This window comes from Homo sapiens, chromosome 4 (assembly GCF_000001405.40).
Source record: "Homo sapiens chromosome 4, GRCh38.p14 Primary Assembly".
Classification (NCBI taxonomy): domain Eukaryota; kingdom Metazoa; phylum Chordata; class Mammalia; order Primates; family Hominidae; genus Homo; species Homo sapiens.
In genome coordinates, this window is record NC_000004.12 from 39,578,534 (window position 1) to 39,597,617 (window position 19,084).

The 19,084-nt window shown below is 42.0% G+C and overlaps 1 protein-coding gene and 1 long non-coding RNA gene across 8 annotated transcripts in view; one reads left to right on the forward strand and one right to left on the reverse strand.

Annotated features, from left to right (window-relative positions):
- The window catches only part of UGDH-AS1 (UGDH antisense RNA 1), a 66,869-nt gene extending 50,695 nt beyond the window's left edge, over positions 1-16,174 (forward strand). Inside the window, exons 3-5 of the long non-coding RNA NR_047679.1 lie at positions 9,390-9,526; positions 11,054-11,186; positions 14,140-16,174. This is a non-coding gene — a long non-coding RNA (UGDH antisense RNA 1). The remainder of the gene's footprint in view (positions 1-9,389; positions 9,527-11,053; positions 11,187-14,139) is intronic.
- Positions 1-19,084, reverse strand: part of SMIM14 (small integral membrane protein 14) — a 92,530-nt gene that overhangs the window by 32,198 nt on the left and 41,248 nt on the right. The window lies entirely within an intron of this gene.

The window sequence follows — 19,084 nt, forward strand, 5'->3', positions numbered from 1 at the left end:
AGTAATGTGGGGATGGGTGCCACATGTGGACAGTTTACTGACAGTAGTTGCTGTCCAGGAAACCATTCATGTTAACACTGATGCCAAGAAAGAAGTAAAAGTAGAGTTCGATCTCCCCATCTAAACAAGGATGGTCGTGAAAGTTCTTGAGGTGAGGAAACTTCAAAATAGCAGAGAATGGGCTGGGCACGGTGACTCACGCTTGTAATCCCAGCAATTTGGGAGGTCGAGGCAGGTGGATCGCCTGAGGTCAGGAGTTCGAGACAAGCCTGGCCAAAATGGTGTAACCCTGTCTCTACTAAAAATACAACAATTAGCCAGGCGTGGTGGCGCACACCTGTAATCCCAGCTACTCGGGAGGCTGAGGCAGCAGAATCGCTTGAACCTGGGGAAATGGAGGTTGCAGTGAGCCGAGATCATACCACTGCACTCCAGCCTGGGCAACACAGTGAGACTGTCAAAAAAAAAAAAAAAAGCAGAGACTGCATAATATGAGTAAAGCAGTAATAGAATAATATGAGTAGAATAATATGAAGTAGTTATTTCTTCAGTGGGAGAAGAGGCAGAAGAAAAAGAGATTAAAACACATAAAAGGCCGGGTGCAGTGGCTCATCCCTGTAATCCCAGCATTTTGGGAGGCTGAGGTGGGAAGATCGCTTGAGCTCAGGAGTTTGAGAACAGCCTGGGCAACATGGAAAGACCCCATCTCTACAAAAAAGTTAAAATATTATCTGGATGTGGTGATGTGCACCTGTAATCCCAGCTACTCAGGAGGCTGAGGTGGAAGAACTGCTTGAGCCCAGGATGTCGAGGATGCTGTGAGCTGTGTTTGTGCCACTGCACTCCAGTCTGGACAACACAGTGAGACAGTGCCTCCAAAAAAAAAAAAAAAGAAAAAAAAGAAAAGAAAAAGGCACAAAAAGGGATTAAGAGAATGGAAGACTTGCCACAGAGATATGCTAGGGAAAAGTATAGAATCTAAAATAGTCCAATAGGATATCTAGAAAGCCTATTAGAAAGCCTTGGCAGGCCGGGAACAGGGCTCATGCTTGTAATCCCAGCGCTTTGAAAGGCCGAGGTGGGCAGATCACTTGAGGTCAGGAGTTTGAGACCAACCTGGCCAACATGGTGCAACCCCATTTCTACTAAAAAATACAAAAATTAGCCAAGTGTGGTGGTGCGCACCAGTAGTCCCAGCTGCTTGGGAGGCTGAGGCAGGAGAATCGCTTGAACCCCGGAGGCAGAGGTTGCAGTGAGCCGAGACCATGCCACTGTACTCCAGCCTGGGTGACAGAGTGAGACTCCGTCTCAAAAAAAAAAAAAAAGAAAGAAAGCCTTGGCAGTCATGGGCTTAGGGGGAAATGTAGATCAAAGAAGATTCTAATGACAACAAGTGGACAAATGTAGCTTCCATGAGGAAACTTAGGCTGGGGAAATTCTTCGAAAAAAAATTACAAAGAACAAAAAATCTCTCTCTAGAGTTACTGAAACATACCTAAACAAGAACTTAATTGCTATTCTTTAACATCTGCTCAAGAACCTCATATGTGTTGGAGATGTTCTTCTTTCTCATTCAACAGAGCTGCCAATGAACTGACAAACAGTGAGGTACAAAAATGTGGTTAAAAAATATTTTGTGTGTGGTTTTATTATTATTATTATTTTGAGACAGGGTTTCACTCTGTCACCCGAGCTAGTGTAGTGGCTTGATTACAACTCACCTCAGCCTTGACCTCCCAGGCTGATGTGATCCTCCCACCTCAAGCCTCCTGAGTAGTGGGGACCACAGATGCGTGCCACCAACACCCGGTTTTTAAATTTTTATTTTTGTAGCGACAGTCTCCCTATGCTGTCCAGGCTGTTCTCCAACTTCTAGGCTCAAGGAATCCTCCCACCTTGGCCTCCCAAAGTGCTGGGATTACAGGTATAAACCAACACACCCAGCCAAAAAGTCAGAGGTATCTGGGTTCAAATCTTGTCTCTGTTTCTTTCTTTCTTTTTTTTTTTAGATGGAGTCTCACTCTGTCACCCAGGCGAGGCTGGAGTACAGTGGTGCGATCTTGGCTTACTGCAACCTCTGCCTCCCAGGTTCAAGCAATTCTCCTGCCTCAGCCTCCCAAGTAGCTGGGATTACAGGTGTGTGCCACCAGGCCCAGCTAATTTTTGTATTTTCAGTAGAGACGGGGTTTCACCATGTTGGTCAGGCTGGTCTTGAACTCCTGACCTCATGATCCGCCCACCTCAGCCTCTCAAAGTGCTGGGATTACAGGTGTGAGCTACCGCACCCAGCCCCTGTCTCTGTTTCTAAGGCAAAGTTTCAAACTATGAAAAAGATAAACACAACCTATTATCAACCTTAAATTCACCATGAGGATTAAGTGATATAATTAAATATATAAATAAAATATTAATGTACATAAAGAACTCAGCTCATGGCCCACAGAATTTTTTCACATCATTGCAATATTATAGCTAATATCACGTGCTTAATTAAGAAAGTGTCTTAACAGAACTCTAGTGTTTCCTAATGAGCATAATTTATTGTACATCATCCTAGAACTTATCCTTAATCTTCAATTTGGCCTTTCTGCTTAAGAAGGAAAAAAACCTTTAAAATACCTTAGTCTTTAATATTTTGGATTTTAGTATTATTTATATTGTGCATTTTTCTCTATACTGTCCAACAAAATGTTTTTTAAATATTTTATGCCTAAACATTTTATATTCTCCCTCTAAAATTCAAATGTTTAAGTTCCTTCTCTATTAATGAGCAGATCTGCCTGTTAACAATGGAGTTTTACACAGTTTGTCTCTTCACTTTAACCAGAACCTGAAATCATACTTTTGCTTTTGTTTTTGCAGGCTACTTAATTATCATAACTTCTTAGGATCATCAGAATTAAAAGACACACACACAGATTTCCACTGGTTAACTTTAACTCAGTAGGTGTCTTTTCTTTTTTCGTTTTTTTCCTTTTCTTTTTCTTTTTTTTTTTTTTTGAGACAGGGTCTTGATCTGTCACCCAGGCTGGAGTGCAGTGGTGTGATCTAGGCTCACTGCAACCTCTGCACCCCCACCCACCCCCTACCCCAGCACCAAGCTCAAGTGACGATCCTCAGCCTCCCTCAGCCTCCTGAGCAGCTGGGACCACAGGAGTAGCTCGAACCTCAGGCGCACAACCACCACACCTGGCTGTTTTTGTATTTTTAGTAGAGACGGAGTTTCACCATGTGGCCCAGGTTGGTCTTGAACTCCTGAGCTCAAGGAATCCACACACCTGGGCCTTCCAAAGTGCTGGGATTACAGGCGTGAGCCACCATGCCCAGCAAATGTCTTTTCTTTTTTTTTTTTTTTGAGACTGAGTTTCACTCTTGTTGCCCAGGCTGGAGTGCAATGGCACGATCTCTGCTCACTGCAACCTCCGCCTCCTGGATTCAAGTGATTCTCCTGCCTCAGCCTCCCAAGTGGCTGGGATTGCAGGCATGTGTCACCACAGCCAGCTAGTTTTGTGTTTTTAGAAGAGACAGGGTTTCTCCATGTTGGTCAGGCTGGTCTCAAACTCCCGACCTCAGGTGATCTGCCCGCCTCGGCCTCCCAAAGTGCTGGGATTACAGGAATGAGCCACCGCGCCTGGTCTAGCAAATGTCTTTTCTTAGATAAACTATAACCAACACACTGGAAGAAGAGTACCCTCTGAAACCTAAAGGTTATTATCACTTTGCCTACAGTATCTGTGTTGTCTGGCTTCCCCCATAACTTGTATTTAACTGGATCTTTCCTTTGCAGCAAATAATTCATAAGAGAAAAAAGGGGAAGAAGTGGATTCTTTTTGAATATGAAAGGGTCTTGGCCGGGCACGGTGGCTTATGCCTGTAATCCCAGCACTTTGGGAAGCCGAGGCAGGTGGATCACTTGAGGTCAGAAGTTCCAGACCAGCCTGACCAACATGGTGAAACCCTGTCTCTACTAAAAATACGAAATTAGCTGGGTGTGGTGGTGCACGGCTGTAATCCCAGCTACTTGGGAGGCTGAGGCAGGAGAATCGCTTGAACCCAGGAGGCAGAGGTTGCAGTGAGCCAAGACTGTGCCAATGCACTCCAGCCTGGGCAACAAGAGTGAAACTCCATTTCAAAAAAAAAAAGAAAGGGTCTTATAGAAAAAGACCAGCTATATATTCCAGTTGTACTGGTCCACCAGTAGCTAAATTCTACTTCAGTATTCATTTAAATGGCATTTGTGTTTCACCTTTAATTTTTTATTTTTATTTATTTATTTTTGCAACAGAGTCTCGCTCTTTTCACCCAGGCCGGATTGTGGTGGCAAGATCTCAGCTCACCACAACCTCCGCCTCCCGGGTCCAAAATTCTCGTGCCTCAGCCTCCCAAGTAGCTGGGATTACAGGCACCCACCATCACACCCGGCTAATTTTTATATTTTTAGTAGTTCAGGGTTTTGCCATGTTGGCCAGGCTGGTTTTGAACTCCTGATCTCAGATGTTCCACCCGCCTCAGCCTCCCAAAGTACTGGGATTACACGCGTGAGCCACCGCATCCAGCCGTTTTGTTTTTTTAAGAGACAGGGTGTCACTCTGTTGCCCTGGCTGGTGTGCAGTGGCACAATCATGGCTCACTGCAGCCTCGACCTCCCAGGCTTAAGCAATCCTCCCACCTCAGCTTCCTGAGTTGTTGGGACTATAGGCACATGCCACCACACTGGGCTAATTTTTTATTTTATTTTATTATTTTTAGAGACAAGGTCTCACTGTGTTGCCCAGGCTGGTCTCAAACTCCTGGGCTCAAGCAATCTTCCCACCTCAGACTCCCAAAGTGTTAAGATTACAGGTGTGAGCCAACTTGCCTGGGCTATTATTCTAACTGGTTTTAAGTATTCCGATAATCAGCTTCAGGTCATTCATTCCAAATTGGGGTTTGGAAACATAGTCACAAAACGAGGGAGGCTGTATTACAGATCCAAAGATCTAGAAGGAGCCCAACATGGAAAATAAAACATAAAGCCCCTATAAAAATAACGCAAACATGACCTTCTTTCTAATGTGGCTCCCTATTGTTCTAGTTGTTATGGATAAAGCAGTGAACAAAATGGACAAAATCCCACCATCCAATGATAACCATTCTGTTACCATTTTAGTTAATGTGTTCCACATACGTGTACACATTTTTCTAACACAGTATATATGATGGCACAGATTTTACAAGATAAGACCCTGAGTTATTTTGCTCTTTCTGCCACACTTACCAATCAGTCACAAACTGATGCCTCCAAATAGCTCAAACTTATCTTTCAATGCTGCACCAGTATTTCATTTAATTTCATCATTTCCAAATTTATATATGAAAAACAATGCTGTGTATATGTTCCTATAAATACATTCTTACACACCTGATTAATCTCCTCAGGGAAGAATTGCTAGAACACAAGTATGCACACTGTAAGTTTTGATACACATAGCCAAACTACAATAGGAGAATTTTTTTTAATGATGAAATACAAATACAGTACGTTCAATTCAAGTCTTCCTGGATGATCACATCTCTGCAGAAGCCCAGTGTTTCAACTGGGAAACCAGCTAGAACCTAATACTACATCTGATCACATTTTGATTAAGTAACATCTCTATGCAGTACTCCATAATGAAAATAATTTGGACTAGGCACAGTGGCTCACACCTGTAATCCTCGAACTTTGGGAGGCCAAGGCAGGTGGATCAGTTGAGGTCAGAAGTTTGAGACCAGCCTGGCCAACATGGTGAAACCTTGTCTCTACTAAAAATATAAAAATTAGCCGGGCATGCTGGTGTGCACCTATAATCCCAGCTACTCAGGAGGCTGAGGCAGGAGAATTGCTTGAACCTGGGAGGTGGAGTTTGCAGTGAGCCGAGATCTTGCCACTGCACTCCAGCCTGAGCGACAGAGTAAGACACTGTCTCAAAAAAAAAAAAAAAAAAAAAAAAGACAAACAGGCTGGGCGCAGTGGCTCATGCCTGTATTCCCAATAATTTAGGAGGCCTAGGTGGGCAAATTGCTTGAGCCCAGGAGTTCAAGACCAGCCTGGGCAATATAGGGAGACCCTGTCTCTACAAGAAATACAAAAATTAGCTGGGTGTGGTGGCACACATCTATAGTCCCAGCTACTTGGGAGGCTGAGGTGGGAGGACGGTTTGAACCTAGGAGGCAGAGGTTGCAGTAAACCAAGATCATGCAACTGCACTCCAGCCTGGGTAATCAAGCAGGACCTTGTCAAAAAAAAAAAAAAAAAAGAAAAAAGAAAAAAAAATTTTTGTAAAGACTACAAATAATCAGGTTAAAGGCAAATCTAAATATATTTTGAATGTCTAACACTAATAGGTTGGGCTACTTTGCCTAAATGATATGCAGGTTGAGCAACCACTCCAGATTTTCTCATATACTTTCCCCAGCTCTACAAAGCACATTCTGAATTTGAGTTTACTTTATTGAACCAAAAATGATGCAATTTACTGTCATTAAAGACATAACAGTAAATGCATAGCCATACCCTATGAAACAGTTTATTTCAATTATATATAAAAGTATATAAGTGCCTAGAAATGTGACTAAAAGGTCCACAAACTTAATGTGACCTCTGACAAAACAAGTAATAGTGGCCATGAAGTGGGATGGATGAGTGGGGAGCAATAGAAAGGGACATGTTTACATTTTGCTCCATATTTCTACATTATTTCAGGCTTTCATGGTCTAGATATTCACATATTACTTCTATTATTATTATTATTATTATTAGAGACAGAGTTTTGCTCTTGTTGCCCAGGCTGGAGTGCAGTGGTGCAATCTTGGCTCACTGCAACCTCCACCTCCCAGGTTCAAGTGATTCTCCTGCCTCAGCCTCCTGAGTAGCTGGGATTACAGGCGTGCGCCACCATGCCCAGCTAATTTTTGTATTTTTAGTAGAGACGGGGTTTCTCCATGTTGGTAAGTCTGGTCTCGAACTCCCGACCTCAGGTGATCTGCCCGCCTTGGCCTCCCAAAGTGCTGGGATTACAGGCATGAGCCACTGCGCCCAGCCTACTTCTATTATTAAAAGAAAAGACAGAGAATTCCAATACTATGACACTGCTAAAAAGGAGCCTGACTTTGATTTGCTAATATCAAAAGATTAAAGTGAAGATGTACGAAGTGGGAAAAAAAAAAGTTGCAGAAATGTATTGTCCTGCAAGGCTCCAGGTAGCACCAACCCCAAGGCTTTGATGACCAAAAAGCTTTGGGCAGAGGCCAACCGGTGTGCTGATACAGAAGGGATGGTCCACCCCCTTTGAAACCAAAGAGGCAGCCCTGATCATCTCTGAATTGCTGTTAAGGTCGCTCTTCCCTTGTCATGAAGAATAATGTCCAGATCATTCTTCCCTTGCCTTGAAGAATAATGTACACTTGCAGCCCAATAGCTCTACGGTCTTGTCCTGTAAAATAAAAGAACTCCGACCTCTATTTCTCCTTCATTCCATCCAGTCTCCCTCCCTTTTAGTTCAACCTGGCAGTTTCCTGCTGGGGGCTGGTGATTTGATTCTGCAGTTCTCACCCACACAAATCTTATCAAGTGGTTAGTCTACCATACCTTTAGTGTTCTCTTGTGAACTTTCTTACTTTTTGTTATGTGGACAGGCTGAGAATTTTCCAAATCTTTAAGTTGTGGTTCCTTTTTGCTTAATAATTCCATCTTCAATTGGCTTCCCTCTTTTCAATTTTTACTATAAACAATCAGGAGGAACCAAGCCATTCCTTCAACATTTTGCTTAGAAATCTCCTCAGCTAAGTATCCAACTTCATCACTCACAAGTTCTACCTCCCACCCAGAAAACACTAGAACACAAACATAATTCAGCCAAGTTCTTTGCTACTTTGTAACAAAGATTGCCTTTTCTCCATTGTCCAGTAACGTTCTTCATTTCTAAGACCATATCAGAATGGCCTTTATTTTCTACTAAAATTCTGTACATGATTATTTATGTATTCTGTAAGATGGAAGCTTGCTCTACCATTCTCCTCTCTTCTTGCTGAGCTCTCTCCAAAATCACCTTTAATGCCCTTACTTCTACCAACAGTCCCTCACAGCAAATATCAGCTTGTTCTAGCATGCACTTAAAAACTCTTCCAGCCTATATCCATTACACAGTTGCAAAGTCACTTACCCGTTTTTAGGTATTTGTTATAGTAGCATCCCACTTTTTAGTAACACTTTTTGTCTTAGTTTGGGCTGCAATAACAAATACTATGGGCCAGGTAGCTTACATACAAACATTTATTTCTGACAACTATGAAGGCTGGGAAATCCAAGATCAAAGTTCTAGCTGATTTGGTTCCCAGTGTGGGTCCTCTTACTGGCTTGTAGATAGAGGTCTTCTTCCTCCATCCTCACATGGTAGAGAAGAGGATCATCTCTTTTCTGTCTCTTCTAATATGGGCACTAATCCTATCACAAGGCCTCTACCCTCATGAACTCATTACCTTCCAAAGGTCCCACCTCCAAATGCTAGCACATTGGGGATTAGGGAATTCAACATATGAATTTTGGGGGGAAGGTACACAAACATTTAGTCCATAGCATGTATATATACTATGATCCCTTCTATGTAAAACAAAAATATAAACTATATACATACGTATATGCATATTAAATTTCTAGAAGGAGCCAGGCACGGTGGCTCACGCCTGTAATCCCAGCACTTTGGGAGGCCGAGGTGGGTGGATCACGAGGTCAGGAGATCGAGACCATCCTGGCTAACACAGTGAAACCCCGTCTCTACTAAAAATACAAAAAAATTAGCCAGGCATGGTGGCGGGTGCCTGTAGTCCCAGCTACTCGGGAGGCTGAGGCAGAAGAATGGCATGAAACAGGGACGTGGAGCTTGCAGGAGCCAAGATCGCGCCACTGCACTCCAGCCTGGGAGACAGAGTGAGGCTCCATCTCAAAAAAAAAAAAAAAAAAAAAAAAAATTCTAGAAAGATGTGTGTCTATACTTTCCAAAAACAGCCACAGAATTAAAGCCAAACATGCTCTTCTAGAATCTTGCCACTCCCCATTGAGAGGTGAAATCTGGCCAGACTCTGTGGCTCATGCCTGTAATCCTAACACTTTGGGAGGTCAAGGCAGGAGGAACGCTTGAGCCCAGGCTATGGTCAAGCCATTGCCCTCCATCCTGGGTGACAGAGCAAGACCCTGTCAAAGAAGAAAGGAGGAAGAAGGAAGAAGAAAGGAAAGAGGGAGGAAGGAAAGAGAGAAATCTGTTTGCCCTCCTCTTGAACCTGGACAGGCCTGTGACTGCTACACCCAAGAATATAGGAAAGGTGTTATGACTTCTTACACTAAGTTCTCTCCCTCTCCCATCTCCTCTCAGGAGGGATGTTCTCCCTTGGAACCAGGCCACCATTCTATGAGGAAGCCAAGCAGCCACATGAAAAGGCCGTATGTAGACATTCTAACTGACAATACTAGCTAAGGTTCCAGCTACTCACCAGCATCAACTATCAGACAGTGAGTAACCAAGTTTCCAGATACTTCCTGCCCTCAGCTTCTATGTCTTCTAGCTAAGAACACAAACAATGATCAGCAGACAAGCTGTGTGAATTCCAGACACAGTCTGTCAGCTTAATGAATGGTTGTTCTATGGAACTAAGTTTTGGGGAAATTTGTTATACAATAATAATAATGGGAACAATACACAAGAAACTGTCGGCTGAGGGTGGTGGCTCACGCCTGTAATCCCAGCACTTTGGGAGGTCAAGAAGGGAAGAGTGCTTGAGGCCAGGAGTTTGAGACCAGCCTGGGCAAAATAGAGAGACCCCATCTCTATTCTAAATAAATAAATAAAACGTAACTATACATCCTAAATACACAGTTCAAAATTGGTAAGACCAATTGTATTGCTAATTATAGAAGGCTATGTGCCTTTTATGTCTTCCAGTGCCTGCATATTGATTTAAAAAAAGGATTAAGATTTGAAACAAAGTAGTCCACTGAAATTTCCTTATTGACTAAAATAAAACTCAAAAGTTAATCACACGATTAAAAAAGCTTTCATAGCAACATGAAAAATGCAAAATATTATTAAATTGAGGAAAATATACATATTCCATAGTATCTAAAAACATATTTCTTAAAAAGATCTGGGAAGATACACACCAATTCATCTAGGAAAGTAGGAAATAAAAGCTAAGTATGGGGAAAGGAGTTCAGCCTTACTTTTAATGTATTGATATTTTTTGAAAACACATATTCATATATTATTTATATAAATAATTAAATATTTTAAAAAGAAAAACAAATATTTTACAAAAGTTTTAACACAACTAGCAAAAATACATTTGCTGCATAGAGAAGTCTCTCAAAGAAACTTTCCAGACACAGATATTTTTCTTCCAGGAAAGGTCCGATGGGCCTTAAAGTGATTTATTTAAGTACAGTAGACATCACAATTTACAGGGCATTCAGGCTGATAAAAAGGAATCTGACCAAGGGTCTCCCAAATCACATTTTTACAGTACTTTAATACAGAAACAAATTTACTTTATTTTTTCTTCAGACAGAGTCTCGCTCTGTCACCCAGGCTGGAGTACAATGGCGCGATCTCTGCACACTGTAACCTCTGCCTCCTGGGCTCAAGCAATTTTCCTGCCTCAGCCTCTCAAGTAGCTGGAATTACAGGTGCCCATCACCACATCTGGCTAATTTTTGTATTTTTAGTAGAGATGAGTTTTCACCATGTTGACCAGGTTAGTTTCAAACTCCTGACCTCAAATGATTCGCCCGCCTTAGCTTCCCACAGTGCTGGGATTACAGGCATGAGCCACTGCACCTGGCCCAGAAACAAATTTCAGTGAAGATGTAGAAGTTTTAGTTATGCTGTTTAGATTAAGAGTTGAAATACAGAGCTCAACAATTAAAACATAAAAATGAAGAGGATTACCTGCATTCCAAAATCTTAGATTCTAACAGAACAGGAAAAACACATGAGCATAATCCAAGTTCGCATTTCTAAATCCATCTGCTTTCTCTTTCTAGAATTCCTATCATTAATAGAAGAAACTATATGCCAAGTGACAGCCAGTGAAGCAGAACAACAGGAGAAGACGGCGAAGCCAGAAGCAAATTATTTCAATGGAAGAAAAATCCCCTCTCCAGGTTGTTTTCATTGGTATAAGGATATGAGTTACTTTTTAAAAAGGAACACTAGGCGGCCGGGCACAGTGGCTCACATCTGTAATCCTAGCACTTTGGGAGGCCGAGGTGGATGGATCACAAGGTCAGGAGTTCGAGACCAGTCTGGCCAACATAGTGAAACCGTCTCTACTAAAAATACAAAAAATTAGCCGGGTGTGGTGGCGTGCACCTGTAATCCCAGATACTCAGGAGGCTGAGACATGAGAGGCAGAGGCTGCAGTGAGCCGAGATCACACCACTGCACTCCAGCCTGGGCAACACAGCAAGACTCTGTTTCAAAAAAAAAAAAAAAAAAAAAAAGAATACTAAAGTAGTTACAAGGAAATATCTGATTTTTCTTTTTCTTGTTTTATAAAGAATACTAGACAACTTAAAACAATAATTTATGCAAGGCACGGTGGCTCACACCTGTAATCCCAGCACTTTGGGGGGCCAAGGCAGGTGGATCACCTGAGGTTGGGAGTTCGAGACCAGCCTGACCAACATGGTGAAATCCCGTCTCTACTAAAAATACAAAATTAGCTGGGCGTGGTGGCGCTTGCCTGTAATCCCAGCTACTCAGGAGGCTGAGGCAGGAGAATTGCTTGTGGAATTGAGGTGGAAGTTACGGTGACCCGAGAATGCGCCATTGCACTCCAGCCTGAGCAACAAGAGCAAAACTCTGCCTCAAAAAAAAAAAAGAATGATTCATGATTAGACGGGGATTTTGTGTAGGCAACTTTCTATACATATACTAGTATTCTACTACTACATCACTAAAAATCCATAGTTATCGGCTGGGCGTGGTGGCTCACGCCTGTAATCTCAGCACTTCGGGAGGCCAAGGTGGGCGGATCACCTAAGGTCAGGAGTTCGAGACCAGCATGGCCAACAAGGCGAAACCCCGTCTCTACTAAAAATACAAAAGTTAGCCGGGCGTGGTGGCAGGCGCCTGTAATCCCAGCTACTTGGGAGGCTGAGGCAGGAGAATTGCTTGAACCCAGGAGGCGTAGGTTGCTGTGAGCCCAGATTGCGCCATTGCACTCCCGCTTGGGAGACAGGGCAACACTCTGTCTCAAAAAAAAAAAAAAAAAATTCCATAGTTATCACGGGGCATATTCCTATATTAAATAACACAGAATTATATGTAACATGATGAAGATACCCAGATTGTCACTGAAAGAGACTCACCGTCTATCCTTATCTACCTTTTTAAGTCCTTTTAGGCAGTATTATAAAGCACTAAATCTCTAATTAAAGTACAGTTGTCCCTTGGTATCTGCAGGGGCTTGGTTCCAGGAACCCCCCTCAGATTCCAAATCCAGACACTCAAATCCCTTATATAAAATTGTATAGTATTTACATACAATCTATGAACATCCTCCCATAGACAAATTGTCTCTAGGTTACTTATAATACTTAATACAATGTACAGGCTATGTAAACAGTGGTTATGCTATTGTTTTATTATTTGTATTATTATTTTTTAAATATTTTTGATTTACAGTTGGCTAAATCCATGAATCCAGAGAGCACAGGTATGAAGGGCCAACTGTATTAGATTAGGAAAGAAAAAAGTCCGTGATATGAGATAATACCTCAATTTTTTAAGTGTTTCTGAACATTCCTGAGACAAGCAGAAGTATACATACACCTGGCAAAATGCAACTGCATTAAGAATAGTCTAACACTCGCTGTAACTCGGTGATGTAATTAAATCATAGAAAGGACCCATGCCAAGTAAGTAAGTAAAACCTTGTCACCAGCACCCCAAAACGGGCATTCTTTGTACTGCAATCATATCAGTCTTGAACTTGAACACTGTTAGTTTATAATATGTACTTTTTTTTTGAGACAGTCTCCCTCTGTCACGCAGGATGGAGTGCAGTGGTGTGATATCAGATCACTGCAACCTCCACCTCCCAGACTCAAGTGATTCTCATGTCTCAGCCTCCCAAGTAGCTGGGATTACAGGCACCCACCACCAGGCCCAGCTAATTTTTGTATTTTTAGTAGAGACTACTACCAACAGGGTTTCACCATGTTGGCCAGGTTGGTCTCAAACTCCTGGCCTCAAATGATCTGCCTGCCTCAGCCTCCCAAAGTGCTGGGATTACAGGCGTAAGCCACCCCACCCGGCCCTATAATGTGTACTTTAAAATAACCCTATAATAACATAGTCAGAGAAGCTTAGTGAGGTGGCTCACGACTGTAATCTTAGCACTTAAGGAGGGTGGAACAGGAGGAAGCTTGAGGCTAGGTGTGTGAGACCAGCGTAGGCAACACAGTGAGACCCCATCTCTACAAAAAAAAATACAAAAATTAGCCAGGCACAATGGTGTGTACCTGTAGAACCAGCTACTCTGGAGACTGAGGTGGGAGGATCGCTTGAGCCCAGGAGTTCAAGGCTGCAGTGATCTATTACACCACTCCACTCCAGCCTAGATGATACAATGAGACCCTGTCTCTTAAAATAAAAATAAAGGAAAAATATAGATAGATAGACAGATAGATAGATAGTCACAGAGATGGTCATTTGCCTCTTTTTTTTTTTTTTTTTTTAAGACAGGGTCTCACTTTGTTGCTCAGGCTGGTTTCTAAATCCTGCCTTTAAACAATCCTCCCGCCTCTGCCTCCGAAAGTGCTGAGATTATGAGCATGAGCCCAGCCAGATTTATAGTCTTTGTACTAAAACTTATATATAACCAGTGATGAGGCAGTAGTAAGAGAAGTTCCAACTGCTGTTAGTGCCCATAAAGCTTTATGAGAGGATACTTTTCTTCTATTTTTATAGATTTTTTAAAACATTCTGATGAGAACAAATCCTACCAATTTATAAATCAAGGTAATGAGAAGTTTTATTAAGAATTATTGAACAGCTACATTGTAGTGTACATTTTCTTTTCAAATCATATAACTATGGTGCATTTAAAGATTTTCTTCTTCAGAAAAGAGAGAAGAATCAAATAGACGCAATAAAAAATGATAAAGGGGATATCACCACCAATCCCACAGAAATACAAACTATCATCAGAGAATACTACAAACGCCTCTACGCAAAGAAACTAGAAAATCTAGAAGAAATGGTTAAATTCCTCGACACATACACCCTCCCAAGACTAAACCAGGAAGAAGTTGACTCTCTGAATAGACCAATAACAGGCTCTGAAATTGTGGCAATAATTAATAGCTTACCAACCAAAAAGAGTCCAGGACCAGATGGATTCACAGCCGAATTCTACCAGAGGTACAAGGAGGAACTGGTACCATTCCTTCTGAAACTATTCCAATCAATAGAAAAAGAGGGAATCCTCCCTAACTCATTTTATGAGGCCAGCATCATCCTGATACCAAAGCCGGGCAGAGACACAACCAAAAAAGAGAATTTTAGACCAATATCCTTGATGAACATTGATGCAAAAATCCTCAATAAAATACTGGCAAACCAAATCCAGCAGCACATCAAAAAGCTTATCCACCATGACCAAGTGGGCTTCATTCCTGGGATGTAAGGCTGGTTCAATATATGCAAATCAATAAATGTAATCCAGCATATAAACAGAACCAAAGACAAAAACCACATGATTATCTCAATAGATGCAGAAAAGGCCTTTGACAAAATTCGACAACCCTTCATGCTAAAAACTTTCAATAAATTAGGTATTGATGGGACGTATCTCAAAATAATAAGAGCTATCTATGACAAACCCACAGCCAATATCATACTGAATGGGCAAAAACTGGAAGCATTCCCTTTGAAAACTGGCACAAGACAAGGATGCCTTCTCTCACCACTCCTATTCAACATAGTGTTGGAAGTTCTGGCCAGGGCAATTAGGCAGGAGAAGGAAATAAAGGGTATTCAATTAGGAAGAGGAAGTCAAATTGTCCCTGTTTGCAGATCACATGATTGTATATCTAGAAAACCCCATTGTCTCAGCCCAAAATCTCCTTAAGCTGATAAGCAACTTCAGCAAAGTCTCAGGATACAAAATCAATGTACAAAAATCACAAGCATTCTTATACACCAATAACAGACAAACAGAGAGCCAAATCATGAGTGAACTCCCATTCACAGTTGCTTCAAAGAGAATAAAATACCTAGGAATCCAACTTACAAGGGATGTGAAGGACCTCGTCAAGGAGAACTACAAACCACTGCTCAATGAAATAAAAGAGGATACAAACAAATGGAAGAATATTCCATGCTCATGGGTAGGAAGAATCAATATCATGAAAATGGCCATACTGCCCAAGGTAATTTATAGATTCAATGCCATCCCCATCAAGCTACCAATGACTTTCTTCATAGAATTGGAAAAAACTACTTTAAAGTTCATATGGAACCAAAAAAGAGCCCGCATTGCCAAGTCAATCCCAAGCCAAAAGAACAAAGCTGGAGGCATCACGGTACCTGACTTCAAACTATACTACAAGGCTACAGTAACCAAGACAGTATGGTACTGGTACCAAAACAGAGATATAGATCAATGGAACAGAACAGAGCCCTCGGAAATAACGCCGCATATCTACAACTGTCTGATCTTTGACAAACCTGAGAAAAACAAGCAATGGGGAAAGGATTCCCTATTTAATAAATGGTGCTGGGAAAACTGGCTAGCCATATGTAGAAAGCTGAAACTGGATCATTTCCTTACACCTTACACAAAAATTAATTCAAGATGGATTAAAGACTTAAACGTTAGACCTAAAACCATAAAAACCCTAGAAGAAAACCTAGGCATTACCATTCAGGACATAGGCATGGGCAAGGACTTCATGTCTAAAACACCAAAAGCAATGGCAACAAAAGCCAAAATTGACAAATGGGATCTAATTAAACTAAAGAGCTTCTGCACAGCAAAAGAAACTACCATCAGAGTGAACAGGCAACCTACAAAATGGGAGAAAATTTTTGCAACCTACTCATCTGACAAAGGGCTAATATCCAGAATCTACAATGAACTCAAACAAATTTACAAGAAAAAAACAAACAACCCCATCAAAAAGTGGGCAAAGGACATGAACAGACACTTCTCAAAAGAAGACATTTATGCAGCCAAAAGACACATGAAAAAATGCTCACCATCACTGGGCATCAGAGAAATGCAAATCAAAACCACAATGAGATACCATCTCACACCAGTTAGAATGGCGATCATTAAAAAGTCAGGAAACAACAGGTGCTGGAGAGGATGTGGAGAAACAGGAACACTTTTACACTGTTGGTGGGACTGTAAACTAGTTCAACCCTTGTGGAAGTCAGTGTGGCGATTCCTCAGGGATCTAGAACTAGAAATACCATTTGACCCAGCCATCCCATTACTGGGTATATACCCAAAGGACTATAAATCATGCTGCTATAAAGACACATGCACACGTATGTTTATTGCGGCACTATTCACAATAGTAAAGACTCGGAACCAACCCAAATGTCCAACGATGATAGACTGGATTAAGAAAACGTGGCACATATACACCATGGAATACTATGCAGCCATCAAAAATGATGAGTTCATGTCCTTTGTAGGGACATGGATGAAATTGGAAATCATCATTCTCAGTAAACTATTGCAAGAACAAAAAACCAAACACCGCATATTCTCACTCATAGGTGGGAATTGAACAATGAGAACACATGGACACAGGAAGGGGAACATCACACTCTGGGGACTGTTGTGGGGTGGGGGGAGGGGGGAGGGATAGCTTTAGGAGATATACCTAATGCTAAATGACAAGTTAATGGGTGCAGCACACCAGCATGGCACATGTATACATATGTAACTAACCTGCACATTGTGCACATGTACCCTAAAACTTAAAGTATAATAATAATAAAATAAAAGAGTTTCTTCTTCAATGAAAACGTTTTCTGTAACTACGATTTTTTTTTTTTTTTTTTGAGACAGAGTCTCACTCTGTGGCCCAGGCCAGAGTGCAGTGGCACAATCTTGGCTCACTTCAACCTCTGCCTCCTGGGCTCAAGCGATTCTCCCACCTCAGCCTCCTGAGTAGCTGGGATTACAGGCACGCGTCATCACACCTGGCTAATTTTTTTTATTTTCGGTAGAGAAGGGGTTTTACCATGTTGCCCAGGCTGGTTTCAAACTCCTAGACTCAAGTGATCGGTGGCCTCTGCCTCCTTTGGGAAGAGTGCTGAGTTTACAGGGGTGAGCCACCATGCCAGGCCTGTAATTACTAATTTTTGTATATATCTGTACAAGGTGCTTAGAAGTTTTATTTTTAGGTTAATTATTTGAGTGGGTAATGCATTCACATGGTTTTAAAATATAAAAATACACTGAAGAGTATGCCTCCTGCTCCTTCCTCCTACTCCTCTACCCCACCCTTGATTGCATATATAGTGCCTTTTTTTCTTTCTTTCTTTGAGATGGAGTTTTGCTCTTGTTGCCCAGGCTGGAGTGCAATGGCGTGATCTCGGCTCACCGCAACCTCCACCTCCCAGGTCCAAGCGATTCTCCTGCCTCAGCCTCCCAAGTAGCTGGGATTACAGGCATGTGCCACCACGCCTGGCTAATTTTGCATTTTTAGTAGAGACATGGTTTCTCCATGTTAGTCAGGCTGGTCTCGAACTCCCGACCTCAGGTGATCCACTTGCCTCGGCCTCCCAAAGTGCTGGGATTACAGGCGTGAGCCACCGGGCCCGGCCGCATATATAGTGCTTTTTAAGGTGCTTAAAGGAGACCAACCAAGAAGAACATGATGCTGAAGCAACAGCCTAAAACTAAATGGTCAGGACTGAACATGTCTCTGCCACTCTCTGGTCAGTTCCAACACCTGGGAAAACTAACTTACTTCAGTTTCCTTATCTGTAAAAAGAAATCCTAGTACTTACATTAGAGGTTTTCAATGGACTAGGCCCCCTTCAAACCCTCCCCACTGTAACCACTGTTTGAGGTATATCCCTTTGAACCTTTTTTACTATTTGCAAAAACATTGTACTGACTTCAGCAATACACAAGCCTACAAAGTCTTCGTTATGGCACTCACTAGCACTTCTCTGATACTTCTAAAATATCAGTTTATCAAATTCTCTTTGTATTTCTAATAGTTTTGCATTCTCACCGTCATCCAGGCTGGAGTGTAGTGGTGCAATCACACCTCATTGCAGCCTTGACTTCCCAGGCTCAAGCAATCCTCTGACCTCAGCCTCTGAAGGAGCTGTGACTATAGGTATGTGCCAAGATGCCCCGCTAATTTTTGTATTTTTTGTAGAAAAGGGATTTTGCCGTATTGCCCAGGCTGGTCTTGAACTCCTAGGTTCAAGCAATCTGCCTGCCTTGGCCTCCCAAAGTGCTGGGATTACAGGGATGAGCCACGGTGCCCGGCCCAGGTTTCCCTTTTTTTTTTTTTTTTTTTTTAGCCTACTTCTTCTATCATTCTAAGGTTCCCCAGTGCATCCATATGACTCCCTAGAGTATTCTGGACATCTGAGAAGCAGATTTTTGGTTGTTGTGATTGGCTTGCATCCTACATGGCTTAAAAATGTCCTACTAGACACTCACAAAAATGAAAACCCTGAGCCTATAATCTAACTTCATCTGACAGAAAAATATAATTTTCAGATGGTATTGACTTTTCAAGGAATTAAACTGGACTTTAGCATTTAAATCAGGGAAAATTGTACTTAGTTTTATTTAAAGCTCTACCAAGACCTGTCCTCCATTTCAGAAAGTCATTGTCACTGGTGGTATTTTTTTTTTTTTTTTTTTTTTGGAGACGGAGTCTGGCTCTGTTGCCCAGGCTGGAGCACAGTGGCACCATCTAAGCTCACTGCAAGCTCTGCCTCCGGGGTTCAAGTGATTCTCCTGCCTCAGCCTCCCGAGTAGCTGGGATTACAGGCACCTGCCACCACACCCAGCTAATTTTTGT